This window comes from Homo sapiens, chromosome 13, assembly GCF_000001405.40.
Source record: "Homo sapiens chromosome 13, GRCh38.p14 Primary Assembly".
NCBI classification, from domain to species: domain Eukaryota; kingdom Metazoa; phylum Chordata; class Mammalia; order Primates; family Hominidae; genus Homo; species Homo sapiens.
This window is the reverse complement of record NC_000013.11, coordinates 114,191,044-114,210,788: the sequence shown is the minus strand read 5'-3', so window position 1 is coordinate 114,210,788 and position 19,745 is coordinate 114,191,044. Positions and strand designations below refer to the sequence as shown.

Sequence of the window (19,745 nt, the reverse complement as noted above, 5' to 3'; positions counted from 1 at the left end):
TGGTGGAGGCTGAAGCCATCCAAGGTGGGGCTGGAGCTGGGCTTGAGCTGGGGTGGAACATTTGGGTGGAACCATCTGGTAGGCTGGTGCTCAGGAGTGACAACAGGGCTGAAGACCTGGATCTGCAATCAAATCTGCAGCATCGAAGTGGTGCTGGGCAACGTTGCCCATGGAGGACAGACAGGCAGGGAGGCAGCCAAAGGCTGAGCCACGGGAGCAGAAGAAAATAGGGCAGAAGAAAACAGTGAGGGAGGTAGGAAGTGCAGAAAGTCAGGAGTGAATTACAACCAGGAGGGGCAAGGATGCTAATGTTAAAAGCTGCAGAAAGGTCAAGGGTTAGATCGGATCAAACTAAACTGACATTTTATGAGGGTCAAATACAGTGGGTCAAAATCAGCAAAGTCACTCAACATAAAAAGAGTAGGATGGAAGAGTCCACATGAAATTAATGCATAAAAGTGTCCCTTTCAGCATCACTGATAATAGTGAAAATTCTGAATTAATTTTTAATAATATGGAACTGATTAAGAAAGTGATGAACCCATTGAAGTGGTGTTCAAAAGTTTCAATGAGATGTAAAAAGTCTTAAGCCAGGATATAAGATCACATATAAGGTACAATTTTAATTATACTTAATACATATATGTGCACAAAAATATAACTCTATTATATATTTGGAAATGCAGAAAATATACAAAAATATACAAAATGCAGAAAATATACAAAAAGTATTCTCTCTGGGTGATGAAATGATAGTTAAATTTCTTCTTGGTATCCATAAATATGTATTATGTTATAATCAGGAACAATAAAAACATTATTTTTTAAACTTTAAAAGGAAACAATTCAATAAATTGAGCAACTGGGAAGTCACTGGTGACCTCATTTGATTGTTCAGTCATTCAACAAATATTTACTGAGTACCTACTATGTGCCGAGCATTGGCCTGGGCATTGAGTCTACAATGATAAACAAAAGAGACAAAGTCCCTGGAATCATAAGGCTTGAGATTCAGTGGGAAGACAGACAGTAGACAGGTCAACACACAAGTAAGTGACTGTGCTTTCTTTTACCGTGCTTAAATGATGACTTTGGCTGCTTGGATGACAACTGTGGTGCCCGTGGTAAAGGAAGACACAACGGTGGAGCCAGAACGAGCACAGAATGAGCGCCACACTGGTGGGCATCAGGACCTTCCTCTAGACCTTCCTTCCTCTAGACCATCAGGACCTTCCTCTCCATGTGACATTTAGGTGAAGGCTGAAAGCTGAGTAAGAGCTAGGCCTACACGAACACTCTAGATTTCTTTTCACATACCAGGAAGGGCCCCTGAGACACGGAGGAGAAAGGTGTTGTACTTGAGACATCGTTTTAACTGACACCTTTGTTATTATTCCAGGCAGACCTGTTCACTTTATTATCTGGTCTTCTATGAGACCACCTACTCGTGTTATTGTGCAAATTGATGTCATCCAATTAAGTCTTCTCTTTCTTTTACTGTGCTTAAATGATGACTTTGGCTACTTGAAGTTTCACTGGAGCAAATTAGCTGTGTTGGATGCGGACAGCGGGATGGTGCCCAGATGGCAGTGGCAAGCGAGCTCCTGTTTCACTGTGGTCCTCACGGCAGCAGAAAGGGAATGTTTCTCTATTATCCATTCTTTGTGGATTATCCTTGCTTGCTTTCTTCTCTTTTCTTTTCATGAGTAATCGGTAGCTGGCTTCATTTGTCTTCCTTCCTCCCTAAATTTTCATTTAGCCAAATTCTCCTCCAGGCTTTAAAAATCACCTTCTATATCCAAAAACCAAAGGGGTCCTATTTAATTCTCTGAGGGATGAGGCTGTCTTTGGTTGTGGACCTGCTTATTCATATTGGAGGCGGCAGGGAGAACTCGCATCTTGTGGTTTCTGGCAGCCCAAAGGAAGGGGTTCTTGTCCAGGCTTCTGTATAGAAAACTGGACACATAGCAAGGTTCCCAAAGTCGTCCCAGCCAGAGCCAAATCCTAGAGACATGGGCTGGGAGATTTGGCACATAGTCCAGAAAACCATGGATAGAATTCAGGCATCCATGAACCTGGATAGGAAAGCAATTGCGTCATATTTTCACCAGTTTTTAGCTGTAATTCAGCATTTTCTTCCATTATAATTGGAGGCAACAAACACGGTAACCTATGACTTTATCACCAAGAGAAACTTCAGATATTACAGTTGGTGCTTATTTTTGGAACATTATTCATACTTATCACTTAGGTGAATTTTGGTGGCTATAGGGCCTGCTGCAGGGTTCTGTTATTTAATATGGTAATAAATAAGCACATGAATTATTTTGTCATGGTTAAAGAATTATTTTGATAACGTGCTTCAATATAATTGGCTGCCTGTCAAATTGTGTGGATTTTATTCTATTCATTTAAGCACACTGCTTTCAGGAGTCTATGACGTCACCATTCTTCCAAAGCAGGTCGTGGCACGAAAAAGTTAAAGAAATCCGTATTTGAAATATGAAGAAGCTAATAGCAACAACGATATTGGCTGACTTTTATTGAGTGCTGAGCACTAAGCATTTGCATGTATTAACTCATTTCATTCTCATGACAAGCCTACAAGAAAGGCACAGGAGTTCCTATTTTATACATGGGGAAACCAAGGAGCAGAGAACCTGACAATTTGTCCAAGGTCACACAGCTAGAAGTCGTGAAGCCCAGGTCTAAAGCTGGGAGAGACGGCAGAGTGAGCTGAGGTCCCACCAAGAGCCTGGCTCACAGATCTTACCAGCTCCATGGAATGTTGAAACTGCCGAGTGACCCAAGGAGATGCATTGATTACAGATTCTTTACTTTCTGGATACAGCTTCTCCTTGCTTTCTGGCCAATGTCTTCTCTTAGAGGAAGAGCATGGGACATATTTTGGACCTGAGTTGTAGAGCCAAAATGGGATTAAAAGCCACCACATAGCCTCTCTAGGGAAAAAAATGGTGGTGGTGACAAAGTCTAGTTGGCTACATGAGAACATTTACAAGCAAAGAACAATGATCTAATCAGTTTTCCCTATAAGGCAGAGGTCCCCAACCCCCGGGCCATGGACCCATACCAGTCTGTGGCCTGTTAGGAACCAGGCCAAACAGCAGGAGGTGAGCAGCAGGCGAGGGAGCGAAGCTTCATCTGTATTCACAGCCACTCCCCATTGCTGGCATTACTGCCTGAGCTCCACCTCCTGTCAGATCAGCAGTGCCATTAGATTGTCATAGGAGTGTGAACCCTATTGTGAACTGCACGTTCGAGAGATCTAAGCTGCGTGTTCCTTATGAAAATCTAATGCCTGATGATCTGTCACTGTCTCCACACGATCCCTAGATGGGACCATCTAGTTGCAGGAAAACAAACTCAGGGCTCCCACTGATTCTACATGATGTTGAGTTGTATAATTACTTCATTCTATATTACAATGTAATATCAAGCTTCACAAGAACGGGACCCCTCCCCTCGCTGTCCATGCCGTATCCCAGTAGCGTCCTCAATGGTGGCAAATAAACCCCTAGATTGTTTGAGACCTGTCTAGATACTTTCTGGTTTGCGAGCCCTGAGGACTTTCTGTGTGCCCTGCATGGTGCTGCCCTTGCAGCGGCAGGGGAGCAGATGGGGCTCAGGCTGAGCTTGTGCCTTGCCCACACCAGGTGGATGCGGGGACACTGCTGCCATGCGGTGGTGATGCTTGGCAGCCTGTGCCAGGGCCACAGCTTCTTTCTTTTATCCCCTCAGGAATTGCACTGGGTCTGGGAGGGGTCCCTTTTTGTTGGCATTTCAATGCCTGTCCCTTTAAGGCAAGAACTCCTCCCTGATCCCATACAGGAGCATCCATACACATCCAGCTGACCAGAGAAGGCCAGAATCCAGTGACCCTGGTCCCTTGCCATTTGCAGTAGGTTTGGTGAATGGGCTGTGGGTCTTAGAAGCCCCCAAAAGCAGTGAGATTCTTCCTTGAGATACAGTTCACATACCATACAAGTCACTCATTTATCGTGTGCAGTTCAATGGGGAGACGCCCACAGTCCTCAACAGTCAGTTGAGAAGATTTTCATCACTTCCTTAGGGAGCCCTGGACCCTTTATCATCTTGCTACCCCTCCATACCCTTGCCTTAAGCAACCACTGATCTACTTTCTGTTTCTATAGATTTGTTTCATATACGTGGAATCGTCTAATATGTGGTCTTTTGTGACTGCCTTCTTTCACTTAGCATGTTTTCAAAGTTCATCCATGTTGTAGCCCGTGTCAATACTTTATTCCATTTCATAGCTGGGCAATATTCCATTATATGGTTAGGGTTAGGGTTCAAAGTCTCCGCTGTATGGTCCTAAGAAGAAACATTTATTTAAAAAAAGCTACTGGCCAGGAGCGGTGGCTCACGCCTGTAATCCCAGCACTTTGGGAGGCTGAGGTGGGCAGATCATCTGAGGTCAAGAGTTCAAGACCAGCCTGGCCAACATGGCGAAACCCTGTCTCTACTAAAGATACAAAAATTAGCCAGGTGTGGTGGCACGCGCCTGTAATCCCAGCTACTCGGGAGGCTGAGGCAGGAGAATCACTTGAACTGGGAGGTGGAGGTTGCAGTGAGCCGAGATTGTGCCACTGCACTCCAGCCTGGGCAACAAAGCAAGACTTTGTCTCAAAAAAAAAAAAAAAAAGGAAAAGAAAAAAAGCTACTGTAATTTGGCAAATGTCTCTGGCATTTGAGCTGAAACCTGCTCTTTCCCTGCTGTTCCCAGCTCGGCAATGCAGACTGCACTCCAGAGGCTGCAGCCAGGCACACAGGCTCTACTCCCCATAGCTTCTAGTCGAAGGGCCTCCTTCCTGGAAGAGGCAGGGCCTCAGCTTTTCTCCTCTTGTCCTCAACTGCCTGTTGCTGAGACTAAGTCCCAGGTGAGTGTGGCATTGTTCTGCCCAGCCCCTGTTTATGGAATGGAGGATCAGCCTAGAGCCTTGGAAATTGTGCTTCTAAGAATACAGGAGCCCGGATCCCCTTGGGCTGGTTCACAGGCATTGGTTCCAAGATGGGAGAGGCAAGCCCAGAAGACCTGTGTGTCCCCACAACATACACACAATGAAGCAAAGAGCCTGGGGTGTCACTCAGAGAGAAGATTGCCATTGTCTCCACTCCCAGCTCTTCCCAAAGGGACGAGCTGTTCTAAATGCTGTTTCACTTGCAACAGAATTTAGAGAAGTTCAACCCTCACTGAACATGAAAATAAAAGACATCCAAATTGGGAAAGAAGAAGCAAACTATTTCTATTCACAGATGATATGATCTTGCATATAGAAAATCTTAAGGAATGCACTAAAAAGCTGTAGAACTAATCCACAAGTTCAACAAGGTTGCAGAATATAAGATCAATACACAAAAATCAATTGTATATGTTTTCGTGTAGACATGTTTTCATTTCTCTTGGTTATATACTTGGGAGTGAAATTGGTTATATGGTAAATATATTTAATCCCCATATATTTATTAAAATATGTTTAATCACTTGAGGAACTTCTGGACTGTTTTCCCAAGTGGCTGCACCATTCCTCCCAGCCCTGGAGGGTTCCAATTTCCCCACATGGTCACCAACACTCCTTCTTATCTGTCATTTTGATTCCAGTCAATCTGATAGGCGTGAAGTGCTATCACGTTGTGGTTTCGATTTGCATTTCCTTGATGATGAATGATGCTAAGTATCTTTTCATGTGCTTATTAATCATCTGTATGTCTTCCTTGGAGAAATGTCTATTCAGATCTTCTGCCCATCTTTTAATGAGGTCATTGTCTTTATCACTGAACTGTGAGAGGTCTTCATGTATTCTAGATGCAAGTCCCTAATCGTATCTGATTTGCAAATATTTTCTCCCATTCTGTGGGTTTTTTTTACTTTCTTGATAGTGTCCTTTGATGCACAAAAGTTGTTAATTTTCATTAAGTCCAGTTTATGTATCTTCTTGTTTGTCATTCCTGCTTTTGGTGCCATATCTTAGACTCCATTGCCAAATCTGAAGTCACGATGATTTCCCACTGTTTTCTTCTAAGAGTTTTATGGTTTTAGTTCTTACATTTAGGCCTTTGATCCGTTTTTGATTAATTCTTCTATATGGTGTGAGGTGAGAGTCCAACTTCATTCTTTTGCATGTGGCGATAGAGTTGTCTCAGCATTTGTGGAAAGACTATTCTTTCCTCACTGAATGGTCTTGGCCCCTTTGTTGAAAATACATTGATTATAGACACATGGACTCCCATTGATTTATATGTCTATCTTAATGCCAGTGTAATACTATCTTGATTACTATAGCTTTCTTAGTAAGTTTGAAATAGGTGTGGAGTCCTAATTAGGAAAGAGGAGTCAAGCTGGTGGGACCAAGGGAAAGCAAAGAGATAAAGCAGGTAAGCGACAAGTCTGCCTTTCTTCATGGTCCAGAACACGCAGCCCTCCTGCGCAAACAGCTCACAATTTTCCTGTGCCGAGCTATTACCAGACACCTGCAAGTTAGCTCACTGTAGCTTTGGTGTTATTGGTACTGCACAAAGCCCTCTTCAGCATAAATGCCACCCTATAAAATCCCCAGCAAGCCTTGGTCTCCTCATAGTCAGCCTCTCTCCTGTGGGCTGCCCGCTGCCTCCTCGAAATGTATTTTCCTACTTTCTCTCATAAATCTGCCTTTCTTTACCTACAACTGTCTTGGTAAATTCATTACCCCCATGCCACTGGCTGAGATAGCCATTGCTCCCCAGCAACAATAAGGACACATGAGTCCTACTACTTTGATCTTCTTTTTCAGGATTGTTTTGACTAAAACAATCCATCAAATTTTAGAACCAGTGGGTCAATTTCTACAGAGAAGTTGGCTGGAGTTCTAATTGGGATTGTATTGAATTTGTAGATTGGGTTTGAGACAGCCAAATGCCCAGAATCTCTGCCCCATCTGACAAGTGTTTACACCAGATGCTTTTGTGCAGATGAGGGAACCTGCCCAGGGCCTTGTCTGCACATGCCCACATGCGCACTGGGGAAACGGGTGAAGCCACGGGCAGGGGAGGAGCCTGGCCTCTTCAGTTCCTGTGTGGTGGCCTGGGATTCCATTTGTGAGGTGGGAGCCTGTTAGCAGGACTCCATCTCACTTTGCTGAGTTTTCTTTTTCTTTTCTTTTTTTCCCTTGTCACCCAAGAAAATCCTGCTCTACTCACCCTTCAATGTGTTCGTGTGCCTAGATTTTCCTGGTCATGTGACAAGTACCCAGTTTCAGCTGAACTAAGGAGCAAAATTCTGCAATAGTTTGTATATTGCCATCTTAATATAGCAAGACTTCTGAATCCATACACGTGGGATATTTTTCCATTTATTTAGATCTTCAATTTTTGTGGATGACGGTTTGTAGTTTTTGGAGTATAAATTTTGTACTTCCTTTGTTTATTCCTAAGTACCTATTCTTTTGATACTTTTGAGTATGGAATTGTTTTCTTAGTTTCCTCTTCAGATTGCTCATTGCAAGTATATAAAAACACAATTGATTTTTGTGTATTGATCTTGTATTCTGCAACCTTGTTGAACTTGTGGATTAGTTCTACAGCTTTTTAGTGCATTCCTTAAGATTTTCTATATGCAAGATCATATCATCTGTGAATAGAAATAGTTTGCTTCTTCCTTCCCAATTTCGATGTCTTTTATTTTCATGTCCAGTGAGGCTTGCACTTTTCTAAATTCTGTTGCAAATTAAACCATCCCTTTGGGAAGAGAATGGGAGCTGTTACGAGGGTCTGCTTCTTCCTCTGGGCAAAATCTCAGAGCCCTGGAGCTCGGAGTGGGAACAATGGCGATCTTCTCTCTGAGTGACACCCCAGGCTCTGTGCTCCACTGTGTGTGTGTGTTGGAGGGACACACAGGTCTTCTCGGCGTGACTCTCCCAGCATGGAACCAATGCCTATGAACCAGACCAAGGGGATCTTGGCTCCTGTAGTCTTAGGATCACCATTCCCAAGGCTGCAGGCTAAGCATCCACTCCACAAACAGGAAATGGGCAGAACAAGAGCATCTCCAGCGTGGGGCCACACTCACCTGGGATTTAGTCTCAGCAACAGGCAACTGCAGACAAGATGAGAAAAGTAAGGCCCTGCCCCTTCCAGGAAGAAGGCCCTTCGACTAGGAGCTGTGGGGAGCAGAGCCCATGCACTTGGCTGCAGCTTCTGGTGTGCATCTGCATTGCTGAGCTGGAAGCAGTGGGGAGACAGCAGGTTTTAGCTCATATACCAGGGACATTTGCTGTTCTTGTCAAATTACAGTAGCTTTTCTTGAATATATGTTTCTTCTTAGGACCATACAGCAGAGACTCTAAATGACTGTGTTTTAACCATTTTCAAAAGTTTTGCTGGGGAGTGGGTTGAGAGAGCTCCTCATGCGGTCATTCTGGGGGTCTCTCATGTGGATCCCACTTGAAATCCATTTGTCATTGAGTTTTCAGTCTTGGGCAGAGGTATTCATCTCTGAATTTCTTTTTACATAAACTCTGATTGCAGCCTTATTTGTAATAGCCCAAAACTGGAAACCACCCAAATGCTCATCAACAGGTGAATGGATAAACACATTGTGATAGATCCGTACGATGGAACACTACTCAACGTTATGCTAACTGAAAGGCAGACAAAACGCAGATACTTGATGAACCTATACACATAAAATCCAGAAAGTGCAAAGGCACCCATAGGGAACCTTCGATGGGCAGAGGGTGGTGGGTAGGGGGACCGAAAGGCTCAGGGAAACCTGGGGAGTGATGAATATGTTTACTGTCTTGACTGGGGTGCTGGTGTCATGGGTGTATCATATGACAAACCTATCACATACACTTTGAATATGTGTTTACTGTATGCCAATCACATCTGAATAAAGACATGAAAAATGAAATCAGGAGTGAAAGTCCAATTGTTGGCTCTATAGTTTCTCTCATGTTGATTTGTGCTACTGGCTGACCAGCTAGCTAGATATGTTTATTCCATCAACCAACTGGTCTGCAGTGCTCCAGAAGCAGCTGAGACTCCCCTGAAAACGAACTGTTTCTCTCCAGCATTGTGCATTAACTCGGCAAGTGTCCTTTGTTAAAGAATGGAGTCAACTGAGACATGAAATAGCCAGTTATCAAGCCCCAAACTGATGCATTCTTGAGAAAAATGGTTGACTTTCCCATGGCTTCCCTTGAAGCCCTGGAAGCCCACAGTAAATCATCTCTGAGGCAGGTTTGCTCCAGTTGGGCCTTTGAACAAAGCCAGCACACAGGACCATGCAGGGCCCGCCTGAGCTTGGAGCAGCACCTTCCCAGTGGTGCACCCTGCTGGGCCTGCAATCTTCCTGTATCACACACCTCGAGGTACCTGAGGATCAATTATATTTTAATTTATTATGAAATCTGAAACTACTATAAGCTTCTTGGGGATAGGTACAGGCCAAAAGTCTTAAAAGGTTCAAGCACTTCCGGAACAAAAACCCCTTCATTAGAATTAACTATCACAATCACCATCAAAATCTTGCACTTACAGGGAAAGGGCCATGGTGTAACTATGAGGTTACTCTAGGATGTGTAAGATGCAGGGGGCAGAGGTTATTGACCTTAGACAAGAGAGGCTTTTAGGATTCACAGTCAAGCATTTATAAGGTGATTTTAAGGAGTATGAAAGCCTGCTGATATTCATTTTCACAGAGGGCAGAACTCCACTTCTGGGTGAAAAGTGAGGTTATGAAAGAGCAGTACCAGTATCCCAGGCTGGGACCCACACAGGATGCAGGGGTACATGATTTTCGGTGTTTTTTCCAGAAAGATGCTGGACCTAGTGGTCTGCTGACAGAGAAACAAAACCTTTTGCTGCTTTTGGTAACTTGACACCTTTGAGAACTGCATGAGCAGGGCTGGGGTACAGCCTGTGTTCCTCCGCCGCCGAACTGCAACCTTGGCCAAGTTCTGCCACCTCCCAGTGCCTCCGTTTCCTACTGTCCTGTGAGGTGCACAAGAGCCCGTACCACACGGGGTCCTGTGAGGGTTCTGAGTCAAGCGCTTAGCAGGTTCAGAGGAGTGTCTGGCACACGGGCAGCTCACAGCCGCTAACTGTGATTTAGTTGTGGGTTGCGGAAACAGCCTAGGAGTCTCAAGTAAAACTTGGAATCACAATCCGCCAAGGAAAAGGGCACTCCTCAGAGCTGTGGCTGTTTTCGGGAGAGGACAGAAACGCCTCGACTCCCACCCACGGGCAGCTCTTCTGCTCATCCCCAACCCCTTCCCAGCACTCGGGTTTGGTGCTGAGCCGGGTGGGATGGCAGGAGCCGCTCCCTTACCTCCTGTGCTTGGAGTTGTTTTTGCTGTCAGTCTGTCCCCTGGTCCTCATGACAGAGGCCACCTTCTCCAGGAGCAGGCGGTTGTCCCTCTCGATGACGGAGAGCCGTTCCTCCTCCAGCTGGGGACAGAGAAGGAGGCTGGAGGAGCGCCGGCAGATTGCGAGGCTCTTCCTCACGCCACGTTTCTGTGACTTGAGTGCCCTGGGAGTTTTACGCTGCCTCGTCTCATATCGGCGAGTGCGCCATCACGCCTCAGCGGGGACCGAACACACAGGGACCCACTGTCACGCCTCAGCAGGGACCGTACGCGAGGGGACGCCCTGTTACGCCTCAGCGGGGACCGTAAGCACGGGGACACGCCGTCACCCCTAAGCGGGGACCGAACACACAGGGACCCACTGTCACCCCTCATCGGGGACCGTAAGCACAGGGACGCGCCGTCACGCCTCATCGGGGACCGTAAGCACGGGGACGCGCCGTCACGCCTCATCGGGGACCGTAAGCACGGGGACGCGCCGTCACGCCTCATCGGGGACCGTAAGCACGGGGACGCGCCGTCACGCCTCATCGGGGACCGTAAGCACGGGGACGCGCCGTCACCCCTCATCGGGGACCGTACGCACGGGGACGCGCCGTCACGCCTCAGCGGGGACCGTACGCACGGGGACGCGCCGTCACCCCTCAGCGGGGACCGTACGCACGGGGACGCGCCGTCACCCCTCAGCGGGGACCGTACGCACGGGGACGCGCCGTCACGCCTCAGCGGGGACCGTAAGCACGGGGACGCGCCGTCACGCCTCGGCGGGGACCGTACGCACGGGGACGCGCCGTCACGCCTCAGCGGGGACCGTAAGCACGGGGACGCGCCGTCACGCCTCGGCGGGGACCGTACACACGGGGACGCGCCGTCACGCCTCAGTGGGGACCGTACCCACGGGGACGCGCCGTCACGCCTCGGCGGGGACCGTACCCACGGGGAAGCGCCGTCACGCCTCAGTGGGGACCGTACCCACGGGGACGCGCCGTCACGCCTCGGCGGGGACCGTACCCACGGGGACGCGCCGTCACGCCTCGGCGGGGACCGTACCCACGGGGACGCGCCGTCACGCCTCAGTGGGGACCGTACCCACGGGGACGCGCCGTCACGCCTCGGCGGGGACCGTACCCACGGGGAAGCGCCGTCACGCCTCAGTGGGGACCGTACCCACGGGGACGCGCCGTCACGCCTCGGCGGGGACCGTACACACGGGGACGCGCCGTCACGCCTCGGCGGGGACCGTACACACGGGGACGCGCCGTCACGCCTCAGTGGGGACCGTACCCACGGGGACGCGCCGTCACGCCTCAGCGGGGACCGTACACACGGGGACGCGCCGTCACGCCTCAGCGGGGACCGTACCCACGGGGACGCGCCGTCACCCCTCGGCGGGGACCGTACACACGGGGACGCGCTGTCACGCCTCAGTGGGGACCGTACCCACGGGGACGCGCCATCACACCTCAGCGGGGACCGTACACACGGGGACGCGCCGTCACCCCTCGGTGGGGACCGTACACACGGGGACGCGCCGTCACCCCTCAGCGGGGACCGTACACACGGGGACGCGCTGTCACGCCTCAGCGGGGACCGTACACACGGGGACCCACTGTCACGCCTCAGCAGGGACCGTAAGCACGGGGACGCGCCGTCACCCCTCAGCGGGGACTGTACACACGGGGACGCGCCGTCACCCCTCAGCGGGGACCGTACGCACGGGGACCCACTGTCACGCCTCAGCGGGGACCGTAAACACGGGGACGCGCCGTCACCCCTCAGCGGGGACCACCAGCTGCTTTGCCCATGGATTGGAACGCATTGGGTGGAGTAAGTGAGAGTAACACTGAGGCGAGGCACTATCTTGTAAAATTAGGTGACCCTCCAAAAGTAACATGTGGCGGTGGTGCTAATGAGGAAATCTTTTTTATATTTTAAGAAAGATAGAGATATTTTATTCAGTTATAAGAAGAGAATATTTGAGCCCAGAGGAAAAGAATCTGCCTCTTGTTTTAGGCTTCCAAGTGGTCGGTCTGCAGATATGCTGGAGACTGGTTACTCGGCTTCAGTTCAGCCCATTTTAACACCACTGCTTAACAGGCTCATATAAAGCCCACAGCCTTTTGTCCTGGAGGCATTACTTCGAGATAACCATGCAATTCTCAATCACCAAATGAGGTAAACTTCACGAGGTCAGGAGATCAGACCATCCTGGCCAACATGGTGAAACCCTGTGTCTACTAAAATACAAAAAATTAGCCGGGCGTGGTGGTGCGGGCCTGTAGTCCCAGGTACTGGAGAGGCTGAGGCAGGGGAATCGCTTGAACCCGGGAGGCGGAGGTTGCAGTGAGCCGAGATCGTGCCACTGCACACCAGCCAGGCAACAGAGCGAGACTCCGTCTAAAAAACAAAATAAAAAAAGAAAAGAAAAAAGAAATAAACAACACCTGTAATCCCAGCATTTCAGGAGGCCGAGGCGGGCAGATCACCTGAAGTCAGGAGTTTGAGACCAGCCTGGCCAACATGGTGAAACCCCATCACTACTAAAAACACGAAAATTAGCAGGGCTTGATGGTGGGTGCGCCTGTAATCCCAGCTACTCGGCAGGCTGAGGCAGGAGAATCACTTGCACCTGGGAGGCAGAGGCTGCAGTGAGCTGAAGTTGTATCACTGGACTCCAGCCTGGGCGACACAGTGAGACTCTATCTCAAAAACAAACAAACCCAAAACCCAACATTCTGAGGTGGTTAAGAAATGGTTTACTGTAAGGGAATGATGCTAGTTATTCTGGAACTGCACTGAATAAATTGTCACTGTGAATCCACTTCCCTTCCCCCCAAGACATGATGGGTCATGTAAACCACAAATAAAATTCTAAGCCCCCTCCACAACTCCCAGCCAACTGAACAGACCCCTCCTCTTGGCCAAGGGCATTCCTAAGTTAACCTGACAAACTAGTTCAGGCCATGATGGGAAGTGGGGTTGGACATGCCTCATTATGCCCTGCTCCCAATGGAATTTAGGCACAACTGACCAGCATTAAGGTTAAAACAGAGACCTTAAAACTGACAAAAAGACTCTTTGTAGCAATAAGATACCAACATGATAGATAGCAGGTGTTTAAAAAATATATAACTATTTTACCCCAAAATATATTTATTTGACATATTTCAAAATGGCCCTGCAAAGCTGTCTCTTGTGGGGAAAATCTACATTCTGTAGAGAATCTCCTTCCCTTTCCAGGTCTTTTTCCTGATCCAGGAGAGAATTTACTTAGTCTGGCACCTTTTTAACTCTGATGAGCAATATTTACAGTCTATTTCCCCTGAAGCCTGCTACCTGGAGGCTTCATCTGCATGATAAGAATTTCGGTCTCCACAACCCCTTGTCTTAACCTAGACACTCCCTTCTATTGATTCCAGGTCTTTAGATAAATTCTTTCAACCAATTGGCAGTCAGGAAATCTTTGAATCCACCTGTGACCTGGAAGTACCCCTGCTCCCACTCCAAGTTGTCCTGCCTTTCTGGACGAAACCAATGTACACCTTACACGTATTGATTGACGTCTCAAGTCTCCCTAAAATGTATAAAACCAAGCTGTATCTTGACCACCTTGGGAACATGTTTTCAAGGACTTCCTGGGGCTGTGTCACGGGCAGATCCTTAAACTTGGCAAAATAAACTTCTAAATTGATTGAGACCTGTCTCAGATAATTTTTGGTTTATAGTCAGCACAACGACTGGGGAAAGATTTCTGCTCCAATTATCAACCAGCTCCCTCACGGACAGACGGGGCTAATTAATCACCTAGACTGCATTTTGTCTTCGGTGAGTTTATTCCTTACTAACCCTGCCTTTTCTATTTTCCTGGGCTTTTAAGCTGGCATTTTCTAGTTAGCTATTACATTAAGTAAGGTAGAAATGAAAGTGTACCTTCAGCCTCTTGAGTTTCAGGTGGAGATGGCGGAACGTCAGCGGGGCGCGGGTGTCTACCAGCGGCTGGGCGCTCTGGACCTGTGGCATGAGGAGGCAGCGTTACCTGGGCGCAGTATTGGAAACAGAGTGAGCTCAGATTGTGCTGCTCTGGGGTCTTTCGTGGCACCAGGGATTCCATGTCAGCACACGGCCTGAAGTTCTGAAAGAGGCTCGTGCTTAGATTTGGAATCCGAGTATCCCCTGGAGGAAGCCAGGCACCCTCAGAAATGAGCCTCTATTGCCCTTTTAAAAGACAGAATTAAGTGGGTGCAGGGTGAGAATTTGTTAAATGCCAACACCTGGTGACATTTCTAGTCTGCACTCTATTGCCAAGAGGCTTTTTTTTTTTTTTTTTTTTGAGTCTCGCTCTGTTGCCCAGGCTGGAGCATAGTGGCGCAATCTTGGCTCACTGCAAGCTCCGTCTGCCGGGTTCATGCCATTCTCCTGCCTCAGCCTCCCGAGTAGCTGGGACTACAGGCGCCCGCCACCATGCCCAGCTAGTTTTTTTTTTTTTTTTTGTAATTTTTAGTAGAGACAGGGTTTCAACGCATTAGCCAGGATGGTCTCGATTTTCTGACCTTGTGATCCACCTGCCTCGGCCTCCCAAAGTGCTGGGATTACAGGCGTGAGCCACTGCACCCAGCTGCCAGGAGGCCTTTTATACAGTGAGTTATGTCCCTGCATCCACCTCACTTTAATTTCCAAGCTCTCCACCAGTATTTCAGGATGAGCACCTTAGGCATTAGCTGTACAACAATCTCTAAAGTTTCCACTTAGAAAAGGTACAAATAAGGGAAACATTTATATTTAAAATGTGACAGGTTAAATGCATGAGACCTGTATGTATCACTGCTTGCAATAAAAAGGAATCCCCGCATATTCTAGACATTCCTTTATAGATAGTTAACTACGGGACCTGCTCACGGATAACCTGAAGGCGACAGCATTGGGAAACTCCCCAGTGGAGGAAGAAACCCCCAGCACATGGAGAAGGATAGCCAGGCTGGGGACTGAACCCACGTGCAATGTGGTGACAGCACAGAGGGTGGAGAAGATGCAGCGAGATGTCAGGAGGTGGAGAAAGGGGCAGATGGAGACGTGTTCACAGAGCACACTTAGGAGCTGCAACTTGGTCCCCAAAGGAAAGGGAACCATTGAAAATAGAGGCAGAGGAGTGACATGGTCACATGGTCACTTTTTACAGGCTCCTCTGTCACTACGTGTGAACGAAGAGAAGCCTGAAGGAAGGCAGGGAGGCCAATGCCAAGGCTCCTGTGGTCATCCAGGGAGGAGACCTGGGCCTGCAGCATGCCCAGGGCTGTGGGGCCACTGGGCGGGGAGGTGGCAAGATCCAGGCCCAGGTGCGGTGTACATGTGTGGGGCGGGGGTGAAGGGAAAGGAAGGCATGAAGAATGCCCTCTGCTTTCAGTTTTCATACCAGGTGACACTAAGACAGAGAAGGTGGTGAGTGGGTTTGGGGCATGGACAGGAAATTCTGAGTTAACTATGTTTAATCTGAGATGCCTACACAGAGCTTTCTAGAAGCAAGTTTCTTCAAGCTCCAGATAAAGATTTGAGAACATAACTGTTATTAAAAATGTCACACTAGCTTGCCTGGTGGCAGAACTTGTTGACCAAGGCCTTTTGAACCCCTTAATGTTATCTGATGTTGCTTCTTGTTTAATTTAAACATTAGGTACGGGGGGAAGGGAGTGTTTCCTTACAGCAAAATGCCAGTTGGTAAACGTAGAAGCAGTGGTGTGGTCGAAAAATCACCATTTTGTAACCATCATTGTAAAGATTGGTTTTGGCAAAATCATCAAAGAATGCTCTTGGGGGGGAAATGAGTGCCCCCAACAGAGTGCTTATTAGTATAAAAAATGGAGACCCGATCTCCCTTCCACCCTCCTCCCTTCCATGTTTGACTCAGGACTCACGTAAAAAGGCCTATATTGCCACTGGTCGTACATCTTTTACGTCTAATGTACAATTTCCCTGTTTTTCTCCCTGCAATTTGCTATGAGAAATCCAGAGAATTTGTCCTGTAGAGTTTCTGAGTCTGGATTTTGCTGATCACATGCCTGACATTTTCTGTATATTGGCAGTTAGAAATTCAGGTTCATTTTTCTTTTTCCTTGATAAACCACAGGTGGTATCTTGACATTTTATTGGCAGGTACAAATTTTTGCTTGTCTCTACCTTGTGATGTTAGCAGCAGTGAATGATCCTAGATCCATTACTTCATTATGGTTTGAAAAGTGGAGATATTCTAATTCCATCATTCAATCTGTATTTGTTTGCTGGAATACTTCTGTAAAGAAAAGCTTTGCACTGGCAAGAAACTTACTAGGTTTTCTCTATTTGCCAATTTCAAAATAGTGAGTTGGTTCTTAGTACCTTCCAAAGGTGACTAGTGAGGTGTTTTGTTTTGTTTTTTTAAAAGACATTAGGAAGTAAAATGTTAAAACATATTTGACATGTTTCAGTCTATTGTATTAACTTTGGCAAGGTGCAGTGGTTCACACCTGTAATCCCAGCACTCTGGGAGGCCGAGGCAGATGGATCATCTGAGGTCAGGAGTTCAAGAGCAGCCTGGCCAACATGGTGAAACTTTGTCTCTACAAACACATTTGCCAACTCCTTGACCTTGGACTTCCCAGCCTCCAGCACTGCGAGAAATAAGTTTTTATTGTTTGTACATCACCAGCTTATAGTGTTTTGTTATAGCAGCCCAAACAGTCTAAGATACTGCTATATATAAATATATTCTCCAAAATTTATGTGTTGGAAACTTAATATCCACTGCAACAGTGTTAGAAGGTGAGGCCTGCCTTCCTAAATGGATTAATGTCACTATAAAAAGGGCTTTTGGGAGTGGGGTCTCTCATGCTCTTCTGCTACATGGGGACACAGAGTCCATCACTTTTTGCCCTTCCACCATCTGCCATATGAGGACACAGCAAGAAGATCCTCACCAGACACCAGCTGCCAGTGCCTTGATTTTGGACTTCCCAGTCTCTGGAACTGTGAGAAATAAAATTCTGTTCTTTATAAATTACCCAGTCTGGGCATTCTGTTATAGCATCACAAATGGACTAATACAGACACTGCTTTTATTGTTTTCTAAATTTTCATATGCAATTAAATCTATCTGAATATTCTATTCTGCCCTAATTATCTTTACTAATTTATTTTTTGTTTTTAGTAGTTTTTCCATTGATTGTTTTGTTTTTTTCCAGATACTTAGGAATTTCATTTACAAATAAAATATCTATTGTAAAATATTTTTATGCCTCTAATGGATTTATCTTGTCTAATTGCATTGACTAACACCTCCAATACAATTTAGAAATTGTAAGAGATAGTAGGCATCCTTGTTTTATCTATTACCATAGAAGGAACACTTTTAGTGTTTTTCTATTAATTAAGATACTGGCTTTGAGGTGAGATATTAATTAGTATTTTATCATGTTAGGGACATATCATTGTAATTTCTATTTTATTGCTTGTTTTTTGGCATAAATGGGTGTTGAATTGTGTCAAAATATTTTCTGCCTCTATGGAACCAATTGTATAATTTTTTCCTCAGCCTATTATTGTGGTAAATTATATTAGTGGCTTTCCTCATATGGAATCACCCTTGCATCTATGGAATTTCCTTGGTTAAGATTATTTAAAGTGTGCTTCAGATTTTGTTTGATATTATTTTATGAATGTTTTTGTCTTCATATTGATATTCATACGTGAGATTGATTTGTGTTTTTTTACTTTTTTGGTGAAGTATTTGTCATGTTTTGGGATCAATGTCTCCTATTTGCTTCATAAATTAGAAAATTTTCTTTCTCCCTGCACTGGAACAATTTAAGCAGGATTGGATTTTCTGATCATCAAATGTTTGGTATAATTTTCTTATGAAACTATAGATAACTGTCTGATAACTGGTCTGTTTGGACTTTCTCTTCAGAAGCCAATTTTGGTAACACAGTCCTTTTATGTTGTGTTTTTGTTTGCGATTTAAAAAAAATTTTAAATGATTTTTTAAAGAGAACTTTTAGGTTCACAACAAAATTGAGAGAAAGGTACAGATATTTCCCATATACCCTCTGCATCCACACATGCATAACCTCCCCCATTATCAACATGCCCCTCCAGAGTGGTATGTTTGTTACAATCGATGAACCTACATTGACACATCATAATTACCTAAAACCCATAGTTTACGTTAGGGTTCACTCTTGGTGTCACATATTCTATGAGTCTGGACACATGTACAATAACAGGTATCCGTCACTGCATTATCATACAGCATATTTTCATGGCCCTAAAAATCCTCTGTGCTCCAGCTCTTCCTTCCTCCCCCCACCCACCCACCCACCCGTATCTTTTTACTGTCTCCATAGTAAACTTTGCCTTTTCCAGAATGTCATAGTGTTAGAATAATATAGTATGCAGTCTTTTAGCATTGGCTCCTTTCAATTAATAATATGCAGTTAAGGTTCTTCCATGTTTTTTCATATTTGATAGCTCATTTCTTTTTAGAATTGAATGATATTCCATTGTCTGGGTGTACCGTGGTTTATTTATCCATTTACCTACTGAATGACATCTTTTTTACTTCCAAGTTTAGGCAATTATGAATAAAGCTACTATAAACATCCATGTGCAGGTTTTTGTGTGGGCAAAAGTTTTCAACTCCAAGGAGCAAAATTGCTGGATTGTATGGTAATAGTATGTTTAGTTTTGTAAGCAACTGCCATTTTGTCTTCCAAAGCAGCTGTATGATTTTGAATTCCCATCAGAAATGAATGAGTTCCTGTTACTCCACATCCTTGACAGTATTTGGTGTTGTCAGTGTTCTGGATTTTGGCCATTATTGTTTTAATTTGCATTTCCCTCATGCATAAGATGTGGAGCATTTTTCATATGTTTATTTGCCACCTATATATTTTCTTTGGTGAGGTGTCTGCTAAGGTCTTTGGCCTAATTTTTAAATTGGATTGTTTAGTTTCTTATTGTTGAGTTTTAAGAGTTCTTTATGTATTTTGGAAACAGTCTTTTATCAGACGTATCTTTTGCGAATATTTTCTCCCAGTCTATAGATGTCTCCTGATTCTCCAGACATTGTCTTTCACAGAGCAGAAGCTTTTAATTTTAATGAAGTTCAGCTTGTCAATAATTTCTTTCATAGATCATGCCATTGGCATTGTGTCTAAAAACCTATTTCTTGCCAGCTCTGCTTGCTGATTTAAAAAAAAAAGTCATTCCCATACTCATGGTCCTCTAGGTGTTCTCTTATATTATTTTCTAGGAGTTTTATACTTTTTTTGCATTTTAAATTTATGTCTATGATCCATTTTGAGTTAAATTTTGTGAAGGCTGTAAGGTCTGTGT

The 19,745-nt window shown here is 45.8% G+C and overlaps 1 protein-coding gene across 5 annotated transcripts in view; it reads right to left on the bottom strand.

The window, feature by feature from the left end:
- The window catches only part of CFAP97D2 (CFAP97 domain containing 2), a 43,829-nt gene that overhangs the window by 12,297 nt on the left and 11,787 nt on the right, over positions 1–19,745 (bottom strand). For 4 of the 5 annotated variants that reach the window (NM_001437370.1, XM_047430025.1, NM_001395230.1 and 1 more), the window contains exons 2-3: positions 14,313–14,393; positions 10,346–10,464 (exon numbers count right to left, since the gene is read on the bottom strand). In NM_001437370.1, the coding sequence (NP_001424299.1) occupies positions 10,346–10,464; positions 14,313–14,393 (200 nt within the window). Of the gene's footprint in view, positions 1–598; positions 2,076–10,345; positions 10,465–14,312; positions 14,394–19,745 lie in introns of those variants that run through there. The other variant, XM_047430026.1, reaches the window with a different exon arrangement.